The sequence below is a fragment of the Homo sapiens genome, chromosome 11 (assembly GCF_000001405.40).
Source record: "Homo sapiens chromosome 11, GRCh38.p14 Primary Assembly".
Taxonomy (NCBI): domain Eukaryota; kingdom Metazoa; phylum Chordata; class Mammalia; order Primates; family Hominidae; genus Homo; species Homo sapiens.
This window is the reverse complement of record NC_000011.10, coordinates 34,781,598-34,796,257: the sequence shown is the minus strand read 5'-3', so window position 1 is coordinate 34,796,257 and position 14,660 is coordinate 34,781,598. Positions and strand designations below refer to the sequence as shown.

Sequence of the window (14,660 nt, the reverse complement as noted above, 5' to 3'; positions counted from 1 at the left end):
ACTCCACAAGCACCAGCTGGCCATGGTTTCCATCTAAGCTCAGGGGTCTTCTTCAAGGATAGCTTGGTTTTGGTTTCTCCTTTCTCTCTCAGCGAGGCTGGGTCAAGAGCTTTCTTTCTGGGCCCTGGTAACATGATTTGCATACATTTATCTTCACACTAACCACATTATGTTGCATTTGTATTGATGTTCCTGTCTCTCCCATTAGGCTGTAGCCCCAGTGGGAAACAAGGCTTGGCTCATTGTAAGCATCCAATGTAGATAACTCTGGGGACTTGTGGTTAGCTTAGTGATGTACAAGCCTGTGCAAAAATTTATTGCCATCATTGAAGTTTCCCCCTTGATCTTGCACTCAGGATGACAGGAAGGAGGATGACACTCAAGGTAGGATGTCATCCTCCTTCCTTTCTGTCTTCCTGCTGAGTGCTTCCTTGCTTTCATTCCAGCAGCATTTCAGAATCAGTATAGCCTCACATTCAACCTCCTCCAACCCCTCTAAAACCTCTTTTATTCTTTGCTAAAGGCTTCATCACTGAAACTCTATGTCATTGTTAACATTTGCCTTTGAAAACCACCCCCTACAGCCAAGTAGTTGTCAAGATACTTCAAGAATATACCCACAGTGCTTTCGTCTGTCCTGGCTTCTCCTTTCCCACTGCCCTGGTTCAGGCCCAATACTTATTTTAATTCTTTATTATGGAAAATGTTAAGCATATACAAACTAAACAGGATAGTATAATGAACCTCCATGTGCCTATCACTCAGTTTTTATAATTATCAATATTATGCCATTCTGTATTCCTGGCTCAATTATTTTTATTATTCTACAGTTATTTTCTAAGTAAGATAAAATTTATACAGAATTTACACAGCACAAATCTTTGTGTGCAAATTTGACAAATGGAGGCGTCTATTTAATCATGCTTCTATCATGATCTAGAATATTTTTATCTCCCAGTTTCTTTGTGTCCCTGCCCAGCCAATCACTCCTGTCCCCCAGGGCAACTGCTGTTCTGATTTTTCATCTTAGATTAGATTGGCTGTTCCCGAAGTTCATATAAATGGAATAATACAGCATGCATTCTTTTCTGTTCAGCGTCTTTCACTGAGCATAATGTCTGTGAGATTCCTCCATGCGGTTTCCCGCATCCATTATTCTTTTTTTAATACTGATGAGTAGTATTCTATCGTAGAAATAAATTATAATTTGTTCATCCATTCTCCAAATGATGGACATTTATTTGAGTTGTTTCTGTTTTGACTATCATGAGTAAAACTATAATGAACATTTATGTACAGCCTTTACATGGACCTAGGTTTTCATTTCTATTTGATACATCCTACATGCAAAATTGCTGAGTCACCACATTAGTTTTTGTCTGGATGGCTACAGTAATCTAGCTGCCATTTCTGCCATCTGATATCGGCCCACAAGTCTGGGCATCACACCATCTTCCTTTTCCCAAAGCAAAACTCTATCCATATCAAAGATCGACTTAAGAAGTTCTAGTGGTCCCTCCTTGTCTTCAGAGTAAAGTTAAGATTGTCTGGCCTGGCATTTATAACCCCTGCAACCCAACTTCAACTTTCTTTCCCCATATTGATTTCCTGCTTCTCTCTCGATATTCTGTGGAAGCTGGGGACATGGTCTCTGATCCTAGGCTCTTATAGGAACATTGTCTAAAAGGCATCATTTTACTTGACCCCGTAACACATGGTAGTGCCTAGCGCACAAGGGGACCCACACCATCTGTTGACTGGGCTAGTCAATGCTCCTCAGCCCCAGGGGTGTGGAGCTCACAGCTCTCAATGCAGAAACAGAGAAATGCCTGTAATGTCCCTGTGGCTCTCACTGCATCTTTCGAGAAGGGAGGCAATTAAACCAGGCAAGATCTCTCCAGACAGTAAGACTCTGTGATTCTGTGAATTTTACTAAATCCTCTGTGTCCAGAAATTCCATCTGGCTCATACCACTGATGTACCAATGGGAGAGTCTGAGTGGAATAATAAAAATAACACAGGAACGAAAGTCAGTGGTCCCAAGTTCTAGTCTCACTTCTACCATTTACTGTGTATTCTTGGATAGGTTCATCCTCTTAGCCTCCACTGCCTCCACTGGGAAACTGGGAATGCAAGTAAGGGGTGACCTTGATGATCAGTAAAATCAAACCTAAAATCACCCGATGGGACTGGATTTCCCAACATATTAAACTAGATCTGCCATTTCATTTTGTTGTTGTTGGCAGGTCTCTTTTCCCTTTTATGTTCTCTCTGTGAATTCAGTGCTGCCTAAGTACAACCCAAGCATTACTCCTTGTCCCCAAATCATCAGTGGTAGCAGCCAAAGCACAGTTAAAACACTAACTGCCAGCAGGACCTCACTCAATGGTGGTAAGAGTTGGTATCTCACAACATGTTTGCCTAAAGTAGAGACATCTGCTTGAGAGTACACCACTGCTACAGGACACTCTACAAGTTGGAGAATATCCACATAGCACAGAATGATTACACCATTGGCAAGAATCAGGCTGCACTGTTTCATAAAGAAAATAAAATGACCCCATTTCAGACACTTAATTTTTCTTTGCCTCTATTTGCTCAACTACAAAACGGGAATAATGAAATATCAATCCTGCAGGCTTTCCTAAAAAGAATAGATAAAAGAACAGATGTAGAATGCTTAGAAGTATATCTGACACACAGGAAAACTCGGTAAATATTAGATAATTATCATTATCATTAATGCTAATATCCACATCTTAGGGGACACAGAGGACTTGGAGAATGTGGACTCCACACTATAATTTGCAAGGCTTCAAGGTGCTTGGCATGTTCACCAAATGATTTCATTTCCTTATCCTTAGAAACATGTTCAAAATGGAAGCAGTGTCTCTAAGCGTCAGTAGCCTTTGTTCTCTGTTTTCTTGGAAATTGAATTTTTAAACTAGAAAGCTCATCTCTTTGAATCTGCAGTCCCTTAGTTCTCATCCCTGGATGTCCTCTATGGGTGACAGCAGAATTGACAGTGGGCTCCTTGTACCTTCTTGGGAAGAAGAGGAGTGAACGTCATACTCTTGGGAGGACAGAAGCCGAATGCTCCTGTGAGTGCCCTTCATGATAAGTGAAGAAAGGAGCAAAGAAAAGAAGAGAATGGCAGCAAACAAAAGCAAGAATTGTTCAAGAAATGAACCCTTTTCAGGAGCCTTCAAAGCCACTCTTTCACAAAGCCTGGCAGGGAGACAGTAACGAGCCTGGGTGAAAGCCAAGCATGGACTTAATTTATTATTGCCAAACTGTTTGTTGCCTTTATTTGCCAAGACTTACTAATTGAACTTTTGTTGATCTGGCTGCCCCTCTGGAGAATTGGAGCTATTGTTACCTGCTCTGTGAGTCCCGTGGAATGTGCCAAAAAATTGACCCCAGTTGCAGCTCATTTCCCTTCCTGGTTCAGGCTGCTTTTTCTTTCATGAATGTTTTTGTTTTGCTTTTCAGGTTCCAACCCAGAGTAGGTGTTTACACTGAATTAGTATGAATTTCACTGACCCAAAGGAAAGATTCCTGTTGAGAGGCCAGAGAGGACCCCCAAAAGGCCTATATGGAGACCCCCTTCCTAGACCTTCCCTTCATGCCCCAGCAAGTGGTACCCACACTCAGCTTCTACTACTTAGGGAAGGGAAACTCTAGACAATTGATTCTCAAACGTTTGTCCCAGGAGCGGCATCCGAATCACCTGAGAATTTGTTAAAAATGCAAATTCCTGTGCCCTACTCCATGGCTCCCAAACCAGCAACCTGTGTCTTAAAAAGCCTTCTAAGTGATTCTGATGTACACTGAAGCTTGAAACCAGTGCCTTAAGCCAGGGTTTCTCAATCTTGGCCCTACTAACACGTTGAGCTGGATGATTCTTTGTAATGGGGGCAGTCCTGTGCATTGTAGGAGGTTTAGCAGTATCCCTGACTTTTATCCACTAGAGGCAGTAGTCCCCCACCCCCACCCCTACCCCAACATGATATCTGAAAATGTCTCTGGTCATTGCCAGAGGTCCTGGAGTGAAGGAGGTAAATTCAGCCCTGGTTGAGATAATAGACAAACTGCTTGTTGTTTCTCCGGGCTCTGGGCTTTTGCTCTCTCTGTGCCATAATGGCAAAAAACTGCCACACGGTCTGTGTGGCTCCTTAGCATGAAATAATAGGCACAAGAAGTGGTAACCACAAGGCAGCTTCCTAAAAACAGATGGAGTTTTTTAACATTGATAAATCTTTCTTTTGTATCCAGCCCCAAGCAAGCACACATTACTTTCATTTTAAGAGCAAGTTCTCTTTCTCAGATTGCTTGGTATATTCAAAACAAAACAGAAAGCCTTTGGAGTTTGGCCTCCTCCCATCTGCCTATATGTTTGCTACCCCCAGGGCAGAAGAGACAGAGGGACTAAGTTCAGAGGTTCATATACCTATGTAGTGCAGACTGATGTGAATGCTGCATCTGCTGATCTTCCCTCTCACCATCAAAGTAGAAGATTTTCTTGTGCATTTCAGGACAAGTGTGTCCCAGTGCTCATTCTAAAGGGTTTCCAACTCTGGGTTCTTAGTGTTGGTGCATTTGCATTTGAAGGGTACCCAAACCAGAAAGTTTGCTATTAGACTTCATTCCCACCACTATCATTTCAGGGTTTTGACAATGCTTCCACTTCAGGAAGCTGGACTTGGCAGAAATCAGCCAAACCTAAACTCAAGTGTTCATATAAACACCAGCTGAAGATCACAACTCATTTGTTAATTTAGTTGGAATCTATTGAGCACCTACTATGTACTAGCACTACGCCAGATGCCCAGGATATACATAGAGAAGCATACAGCCTCAGCCTTCGGCGAGCTTGTTGTGAGATAAAGGTAGAAGCCATTTCAAACAGAATGCAGTCTTTGATATAACAGGGAACCATAGAGCAACATGGAAATATGCTTCACTGTTGAAGCTTCAGTGTCTGGCTCATAGTAGAAGCTTAATATATATTTGTTGAAAGAATGTTAGAGGGGACCTGTCCTACACAAACTGAAAAGATTAAAAAAAGAGTCTTGCCAAAGAAAGTAGTACTTAGGTTTCCAAAGAAAAAGCAAGAGTTGGCCATGCAGAGAATGGAAAGGTAATTTCAGATAGAGACAGTAGCAGGTGCAAGGACGATGGCATGGGAATATGCATGATAGCTTAGGGTGGACTTCAAGGTCTGAAAGAATTGTCTGAGGAAGTGACTTCCTGGTTGTCTATTGCTGTATAACAAACTACCCCAAAACAACCATTTAGTTTTGTTTGTAATTTTGTGGGTAAGTAATGCAGAAATGCTCAGCTGGATGGTTCATCTCTCGTTTACTTGGCATTACCTACGGCCACTGGGGCTGAAGATTCACTTTCAAGATTTTTTTTCACTGACATTTCTGGTGCCTTGGTGTTTCTTGGCTTCCCTTCCTCTCTACATATTTCATTATCTCATTATCCAGGGCTCCTCCATGTGGCTTCTCATGACATGGCAGTCTCAGGGTAGCTAGTTTCCCCCAGAGTAAATAATCTTAGAGTGAGTATTTCAAGAAGCCCAGGTAAAAGCTACAAAGCCAGTGGGGCACGGTGGCTCATGCCTGTAATCCCAGCACTTTGGGAGGCTGAGGTGGGCAGATCACGAGGTCAGGAGTTCAAGACCAGCCTGGCCAACATACTGAAACCCCATCTCTACTAAAAATACAAAAATTAGCCGGGTGTGGTGGCACCTGCCTGTAGTCCCAGCTACTCTGGAAGCTGAGGCAGGAGAATCGTTTGAACCCCGGAGGCAGAGGTTGCAGTGAGCCAAGACCACGCCATTGCACTCCAGTCTGGGTGACAGAGTGACACTCGATCTCAAAAAAAAAAAAAAAAAAAAAAAAAAAGCTAGGAAGCCTTTTGTAACCTAGCTTTGGAAGTTCCAGAACATACTCCTGCATTCTTATGATCAAGCAAGTCACTGCAGCCAACCCAGATCCAAGGGGAGGGGAGTAAGAGCCCTTTACCTTAGTAGGGGAATGGCTTGCCTACAGAAGGAGGGAGGAAATTTGATTGCAGCCATCTTGGAGGAAAGCTTCCTCATGTGGGTTGCAGGGGTTGAGGAACTTGAAACTAAAGAGTCAAGCCTGAAGAACTTGGAGCAGCAAGCTAAGGAGTGAGCAAGGTACCCTGAATTCTGTGAGAAGCCATGGAAGAGTTTAGCATGTGAGTGGTCTGATGGGATCCATTTTAGAATGATCTTTCTCTGCCAGCTGTGAGAATGGAGGAAGTGGGAGAAGACTACAGGCAGGGAGGTAGCCATGAAATCTCTATAGCTTGAAAGAGCAAAAGTGACTTGAGGGACTGAAGACTGGGGATGGGAGAAGGGGTGTCATAAGTGAGACTCTGAGGAGCATTCAGTTATCTGAGGGCTCTGACACCTCTCCCAACACAACCAAACCAAACATGTTCCCTTCAAAATGAGAGAAGAAAGGCCTCATTTTCCATTCCGGGAACTGGATGAGGGGTAAATGGCAGCTGGCAACTAAGCTTGCCCTCTGTGGCTTAATGGCAACACCTTCTCAGGTTTGTTCAGAGCTGCCACTGAGGAAAACAAACAAGATTGGTGTGAAGACCATTAAAAAAAGGCCTCAGAACAAAGACTCCACTTGGCAGCTGTTGCTCAGAGCTGAGTGAAAGAAACAAAAGAGTTTGTTGAGCAAACATGAAAGGAGCCTAATTGATGCAATTAAGGTGAAATTAAATAAAGGAAGGTTTTAGCCCGAAGTTCATGGAAAATTTTTCAAAGGAGTGTCACTGGAATAGTCATTCAGGGCTTTTAAATAGAGGGAAGCACAGGATGTGGGAAATTGGCCTATTTGACCCTTGGGAATGAAGCAAATCAAGTGTGGTGATGTGGGCTACACATGTACGACTGTTTGGCCCTGGCTGCCCCATCTTGGGCAGGGAGTAGGCTGGGGTTGGGTGCGACTGGGGAGGGATGAGACAGAGGCAGCCCAGGGGGATCATCTTTAACAAGACCACAGTGTCTTGCTATCACATCACCCCATTTTATTTATTTCATAATACTACTATCTGAGAGTATCTTGTTCATTAGTCTTAGTTGTTTACTATCTGTCCTTTTCACTTCAAAACACACACACACACACACACACACACACACACACACACACACACACACACACACACAATGGAACTCTAGGTCTTCTTGGAACACAATTTCCAAGATGCCCATCTGGCTGTGTTGTCATCCCCAAATGCTGACACCCAAAAGCAAACATCTGTACCTCACACATGATCGCAAGCACTGCTCAGATGTCTCAGAACTGTGCCACAGGAAATTAATACCTGAAATCAACCCAAACAGGTCAATTTATTTAACAAACCAGTTACACAGGCCCTACTATATGCCAGGTACTCTTTCAAGCACTTTACAAATATTAACCATCTGGTCCTTGTAAGGACCTGTGAGTCAGGAATACGCTTGTCTGCATTTTACAGGTGAGGAATAGGAATAGAGAAGTCAGACTGTGTCTGAGGCACTAAGTGGAAGAGCCAGGACTTGAACTCAGGTACTGGACTCCAGAGGCCACACTCTCAACCCCTACACTAGGCCCCTTTGAATTGTAGTCAAGGCAGGATTCATGGACCCAGAGTATGAAATCCACTGGGAGCAGTGTAGCAGCACCATCTGAATCCTTGGTCTGGTTCCTTAGCATCTCACTCTCATCGGCTTTGGCTGCCAAGCACAAAGCCCACCCTCCTGCACTGATTGATGGTGGATGAAAGGAGACATCTAGAAACGCTGAAAACACATCTGGATGAACTCATGTATTATCAATAATTAGAATGTAGGCCTTTCACTGGGAGGGAGGAATCCATTGCAAGGAGGCCCTATCCTTTTATTAGAAAATGCATAAAATTTTAAAAATCTGATCAGGGAAAATTAGGGGCTTTGAAAGAGACAGGGAAAAATATAGGATGAAAAAAGCATAGAATTATAGAGATAAAAATATTACAAATAATTCTAGTTTGATTTTCTCATATCACAATGGCGAAAGAAAGACCTACATTAATAGTTGTTGAATGTAATGTTTATTTAAAATGCCAAGGGACTCATTTGAAATGTAAATTCTGGTATTACTCCTAAGCATCCACCAGAGATTATGAATCAGTGAAATATCTGATTCATGAATTCTGGAGTGAGGCACAGGAATCTGTCTTTTAGTGACAGATTCAAAGACAGGAATCTGTACCTTATCAACTGATTTTTGAGTCAAGCTTTTTCTACAGAAATGCAAAAATGTCTTTTTTTTAAAAAAAAATCCCATGCTAGTCAGTATATAGTGGTATCTCAGTGTGGTGTTAAGTTGTATTTCTGTAATAACTAATGATGTTCAGCATCTTTTTTTGAGCTTTTTGTATTCTATGTATCTTTGGTGAGGTTTCTGTTTCAAATTTATTGGAAGTTCTCAATTAGGTTGTCTTCTTACAGAGTGAAAAAGTTCTTTACATACTTCAAATAGATGTTCATTATAAGGTAAATGATTTATTACATTTTCTCCCAGTCTGTGGTGTGTCTTTTCACATTCTTAATGGTATTTTCAGAATGCAAACATTTAAAAATTCTGATGAAGTCAAATTTAGAAATGTTTTTCCTTTTATAGATTGTGGTTTTCATGCTGTATCTAAGAACTCTTTGCCTAACCCAAAGTCACAAAGATTTTTTTCCCTATGTTTTCGTCTAGAAATGTTATACTTTCAGTGCTTACATTTAGATCTATGATTCATTTTTAATTGCTATTTTATGTGCAGAGTAAGTTAGCATCTAAGTTGATTTTGCTACATATGGATATCCAATTATTCCAGCTTCATTTTTAGAAAAAGACTATTTTCTCATCCATTGAATTACCTTGGCATCTTTGTTGAAAATCAATGGATCATAAATACACGGGTTTGCTTCTGGATACCCTACTCTGTTTTACTGAGCTGTATGTCTATACTTATGCCAGCACTACACTGTTTTGATTCTTGAAGGTTTAATTTTGAAGTTAAGTAGTATAAATTCCCCAACTTAGTCTTTCTCTTTCAAAATTGTTTATTCTCTTCTATGTCCTTTGCATTTTCATATTAATTTTGGATTAGCTTGTTAATTTATACAAATAGATCTGAAGGAATTTTATAAAATTTGTGTTGAGTTTACAAATCAATTTGAAGGGAATTACTATTTTAAAAATACTGAGTCCTTCAAGCTATGAGGAGGGTGTGGCTTTCAATTTATTTGGATCTCTAATTTCTCTGAGGAATATTTTGTTGGTTTGAGTATTATGTTGTACTATTTATGTTAATTTATTCCTAAGTATTTTGTTCTTTTTTGATACCATTATTAATTAAATTATTTTCTTAATCTTATTTTTGGATTGTTCATTGCTAATAATATAAAAAGACAATTAGACAATTAGTTGTGTATCTTGAGTTTGTATCCTGTGACCTTGCTCAATTTGTTTACTTGTTTTAATAGTTTTTTTTTCTAATACAAAGCCACCTGTCTTCAAATAAAGGTCATCTTACTTCTTCCTGTCTGATCTATATGACTTTAATTCCTTTTTCTTGACTTACTGCACTGGATGGAAACTTCAGTACAATGCTGAAAAGAAGTGGTAAGGGTGAATATCCTTTCCTTAATCCAAATTTTAGGAGAAATGAATTCAGTCTTTCACCATTAAACATCATGTTAGCTGTAGGATTTTGTAAACTATTTCCAGCTTGCTGAGATTTTTATTATGAATAAGTGTTGGATTTTGTCGAATGCTTTTCTGAGTCTATTGAAATGATCATATAATTTTTACCCTTTATTCTATTAATATGGTGTACTATACTCATTGAATTTTGGATTTTAAATAGACTTTACATTCTGGGATAAAATCCACTTTGTCATGATAATTCTTTTAATATGTTGTAGATAAAATTTGCCAATATTTTGTTTACATAATGATTACATTTGTGAAAGATATTGGTTTGCAATTTTTTTTCCTTATAATTTATTTGTCTGACTTCAGTATCAGGGTAATAATGGCCCCATAAAATAAGTTGCTAAATGCTTTTTATTCCTCTACTTTCTGATAGTTTGAGTAGGACTGGTATTATCTTGACCTTAAATGTTTGATTGAATTCACCAGTAAAGTCATCACTCTGGTCCTGAGTATTTTTGTGTGTGGAAGAAATATTTTAAATTTTATTACGTTATATTATCTACTTAGATTTAGTATTTCTTCTTGAGTCAGTTTTGATAATTTATGTCTTTCTAGAAACGTGTTCGTTTCTTCTGTGTTGCCCAATTTAATGCCATGAAGCTCTTCATAATATTTCTCATAATATCTTAATTTCTGTAGATTCTGTAGTGACTGTAGTGTAATGATTTTATACTAGACCTTAATAATTTGTGTCTTCTCTCTTTTTTTCTTAGTAAATCTGGTTAATGTTTATTAATTTTGCTGATTTTTACAAAGAATCAACTTTTGGTGTGACCAATTTTTTTTCCCATTTTTTTTCTAGTTCATTGATTTTTACTCTAATCTTTATTTTTCCTTTCTTCAACATACCTGATTTTATTTCCTTTCTTTTGTGTATGGGGATACAATCTTAGATTATTCATATTTGAACTTTTTTGTTTAGACTATATATATTTAAAGTTAAAAACATATCTTAAGCATTGCTTTAGCTGCAATCCATAAATTTTGTTACACTGTGTTTACATTTTCTTTTAGCTCAACATACTTTTAAATTTCATTTGTGACTTCTTCTTATACCTATAGGGTGTTTTGAAATGTGTTAACTTCTGAATAGTTGGAGATTTCCAATATTTCTTTCGATTGCTGGGTTTTAGTTTAGTTTCATTAGGGTCAGAGAGCATACATCTAATAATTTTGATTCTTTTACATTTGTTGAGACTTTTAAATGGTGTAGAATATGGTCTATCCTGGAGAATGTTCTAAGGGTGTTTATAAAGAATGTGTACTTTACTGCTGTTGGGTGGAGTGTTCTATACATATGTGTATGTTGGGGTGCAAGGTGAAGGAATGAAATGATAATTAAGATATAATTCTTGCCTTTTAAAGTTGTTTCATTCTTGCAAAGTGGTGGTTTTCAACTCAGGGCTATTTTGGCCCCCTGCTGACCTTTGGCAATGTCTGGAGACATTTTTGGTTATCACTAACTACTGGGGTCCAGTGCCACTTGCACCTAATAAGCAGATTCTGCTAAACATTCCACAATGCACTGGCTAGCCCCCCACAATAATTATCTGTCCTAAAATGTCAATAGTCCCAAGGTTTAAAAACCTTGCTTTAGAGGATATAAAAGGGACTTAATTATAATTCAAAGCTTCAGAGGATAATTTTCATGCTATGCCAATTGCTGTACTGTGGCTAAAACTGATCAACCCTTTAGCAATTACCACACCTCTCACATGTTTGTCTGTTTTTCCCACTAGACTTTGAACCTCTTGAATGTTGAAATTTACCCAAATATTTACGATGGTTGAAAGCACAGAGACAAAGTTGGATTTCAATTCTATTTCTGTGCTCGCCAGGTGTGTGACTTTGGGCTGGTTACTTGACCTCTCCAAACCTCAAATTTCTCAGTTGTATAATGTGAATAATGCACCTACCTTATAAGATTGTTGTGAAATTTAAATAAACTCATCAAGGAAGGTACTTGACACAGTCCTGACACATATAGTCATTATTTTGTTATTGTTATTGTTATATCCAGTACCTAGCCCAGTGCCCTGCAAATATGTACACATAAGCAAATGAGTTATTGAGTCATCTTCCCTTACCTTCCTTACCTCCACAGCACACACAGGCTATACAGAGTAATCCTGACTGAGATAAAACCTGTCCCTTTCTACTCCCGCTCCTTACTTTCTGCAGAGGAGACCACCTATGGCTGTAGGAGATGGACAGGAGCCCAAACAGGACAAACAAGTGCAAGGCAAACATGGATTGACCTCAGTTTCACCCTTCGGACTCCCACTAACCTGATATGAGATAGTCACACAGGAGGCACTGAGGTCATGCCCCAAACAGTCCCATGATCTGTGCACCCAGCATCACTCTGAGCCAACTCCCTTTGTTTTGCTTCAGAGAAGCAGTTCTTTCTTCTTAATGGCCACAAAGCCTGTCACGACACTCTCCACCCCATTCCTGAGTCTTGGGCACTTCACACTGGGAGTCTCTGTCTGTTGGGCAACCCTTTTGATCAATATTAAAGGCCTTTGGGTCCCTCCCTAAGTACCTCATCTCTGTTCCCATCTACTTCTGAGTGACTTGGCAAAGATCACATCTGTGAATCAATTTGCTAACTTTTAAAGTGGTGGTTGAAGGTGAAGCTTTGCCAACTTGATATCTTACTATGTTTGCTTTTGATGGAGGAGTCATAGTGAAAGAAAGGACACCTCCAGCCCTAACAGAGCCCCTTGGTGTATAAAGAAGGATTCACATGGTACCAGAGAACCTAAGCAGCCAGGAAGACACAGAGCAAAAGCTGAAGTTGAGAAGAGAGAAGGGTTCATTCAGTTCATTTAACACAGGGCACTTGCCTCCATTTTACTATCTGGTTCCTACTGTGCCCTGAGGTTGGTAAACAAAATATGGAGACTTCCTTTTTATCAACATTTATTTATAGGTCACTGATCGATGTCCTCAACCCTCATAACCGAAAGAAGCCATTTTTGCCTACACACTTAGTTTCTCTGTATGTTTACCTAGAAGCTTGCCTTCTCTAGTGACAGGATACAGCAGAGATCAAGACTAAGCAAGGACAAAGTGACCTGAATCTAAAGAAATAAACGTATATGCAGCAGAAAGCATTGGGGATAGAGTGTTTGCTTTATTTTTAAAAAATCATGAAAAGGATATTCCATTTGCTATTAACATTAGAGACTTAGAACAAACATTTCTACTTTGTTGAATTCTAATATAAAAATAATTATACCTACTGAATGCTGAGTTTGTGCTGGACACTGTTCTAAATACTTTACATGTATAAATTAATTTTATTCATAATAATTAATTTTATTTAGGTTTTATTCAAAATAGTTAATTTTATTTCATAATAATGAAAATAATAATAACTACTAGCCAGTTGAACCCAGCAGCATATCAAAAAGTTAATGCACCATGATTAAGTAGGCTTTGTTTCTGAGATGCAAGGTTCAACATACAAAAATCAATAAGTGTTATTCACTACATAAACAAAACTAAAAACAAAAACCATACGATCATCTCAATAGATATAGAAAAAGTTTTCTTTTCTTTTCTTTTTTTTTTTTTTTTTTTGAGACAGAGTCTCGCTCTCACCCAAGCTGGAGTGCAGTGGTGCAATCTCGGCTCACTGCAAGCTCCGCCTCCCAGGCTCACGCCATTCTCCTGCCTCAGCCTCCCGAGTAGCTGGGACTACAGGCACCCACTACCATGCCCGGCTAATTTTTTTGTATTTTTAGTAGAGACGGGGTTTCACCATGTTAGCCAGGATGGTCTCGATCTCCTGACCTCGTGATCTGCCCGCCTCGGCCTCCCAAAGTGCTGGGATTACAGGCGTGAGCCACCGCGCCCGGCCGGAAAAAGTTTTCAATAAAATGCAACATCCCTTCATGATAAAAACCTTAAACAATCTAGACATTGAAGGAACACATCTCAAAATAATAAAAGCCGTCTATGACAAACGCACAGCCTACATCATACTACATGGACAAAGCTGGAAGCATTGCCCTTGAGAATTGAAATAAGACAAGGATGACCACTCTCACCACTCCTTCTCAACATAGTACTGTAAGTCCTAGCCAGAGCAACCAGGCAAGAAAAAAAAAAAAAGACATCCAAATAGAAAAAGAAGTTAAACTATCTCCCTTTGTTGACAATATGATTCTATACATACAGAACCCTAAATAATTTGCCAAAACACTCCTGCAACTGATGAATGACTTTAGCTGTAGAGTCTAGCTAAACTAAACAGCCTCTGACAGCAAAAGAAATTACCAACAGAGTAAATGGACAGCCTACAGAATGGGAGAAAATATTTGCAAACTATGCATTTGACAAAGGCCTAATATCCAGAATCTAAAAAGAGCTTAAACAAATAAAAAAGCAAAAAAAAAAAAAATCCAATTTTAAAATGGGCAAAGGACATGAACAAACACTTCTCAAAAGAAGACATACAAGTGGACAATAAACATAAGAAAAAAGGCTCAGCATCACTTGCCATCAAAGAAACACAAATCAAAACCATAATGAGATGCCATCTCACACCAGTCAGAATGGCAATCATTAAAAGTAAAAAAATAACAGATGCTGGCAAGGCTGCAGAGAAAAGAGAACACTTATACACTGTTGGTGGGAATGCAAAGTAGTTCAGTCACTGTAGAAAGCAGTTTGGAGATTTCTCAAATAACTTAAAACAGAACTACCATTTTATCCAGCAATCCTACTACTGGGTATTTACCCAAAGGAAAAGAATTCATTTTATTAAAAGACACATGCAGTTTTATGTTCATCATGGCACTATTCACAATAACAACGCCTGTAATCCCAGCACTTTGGGAGGCCGAGGCGGGTGGATCATGAGGTCAGGAG

At 39.4% G+C, this 14,660-nt stretch overlaps 1 long non-coding RNA gene across 1 annotated transcript in view, besides 2 other annotated features; it reads right to left on the bottom strand.

Moving 5' to 3' along the window:
* LOC102723568 (uncharacterized) overlaps window positions 1-14,660 on the bottom strand; it is a 185,086-nt gene that overhangs the window by 81,422 nt on the left and 89,004 nt on the right. The window lies entirely within an intron of this gene.
* Window positions 244-792: an enhancer, noted in NCBI's record as "NANOG hESC enhancer chr11:34817013-34817561 (GRCh37/hg19 assembly coordinates)". NCBI's record gives its function as "activates a minimal SCP1, AML or CMV promoter by ChIP-STARR-seq in naive H9 embryonic stem cells {active_cell/tissue: H9 hESC(naive)}" and the evidence as "EXISTENCE:reporter gene assay evidence [ECO:0000049][PMID:30033119]".
* Window positions 11,382-11,676: an enhancer, noted in NCBI's record as "tiled region #2558; HepG2 Activating DNase matched - State 5:Enh". NCBI's record gives its function as "activates a minimal TATA promoter and a strong SV40 promoter by Sharpr-MPRA in HepG2 cells {active_cell/tissue: HepG2}" and the evidence as "EXISTENCE:reporter gene assay evidence [ECO:0000049][PMID:27701403]".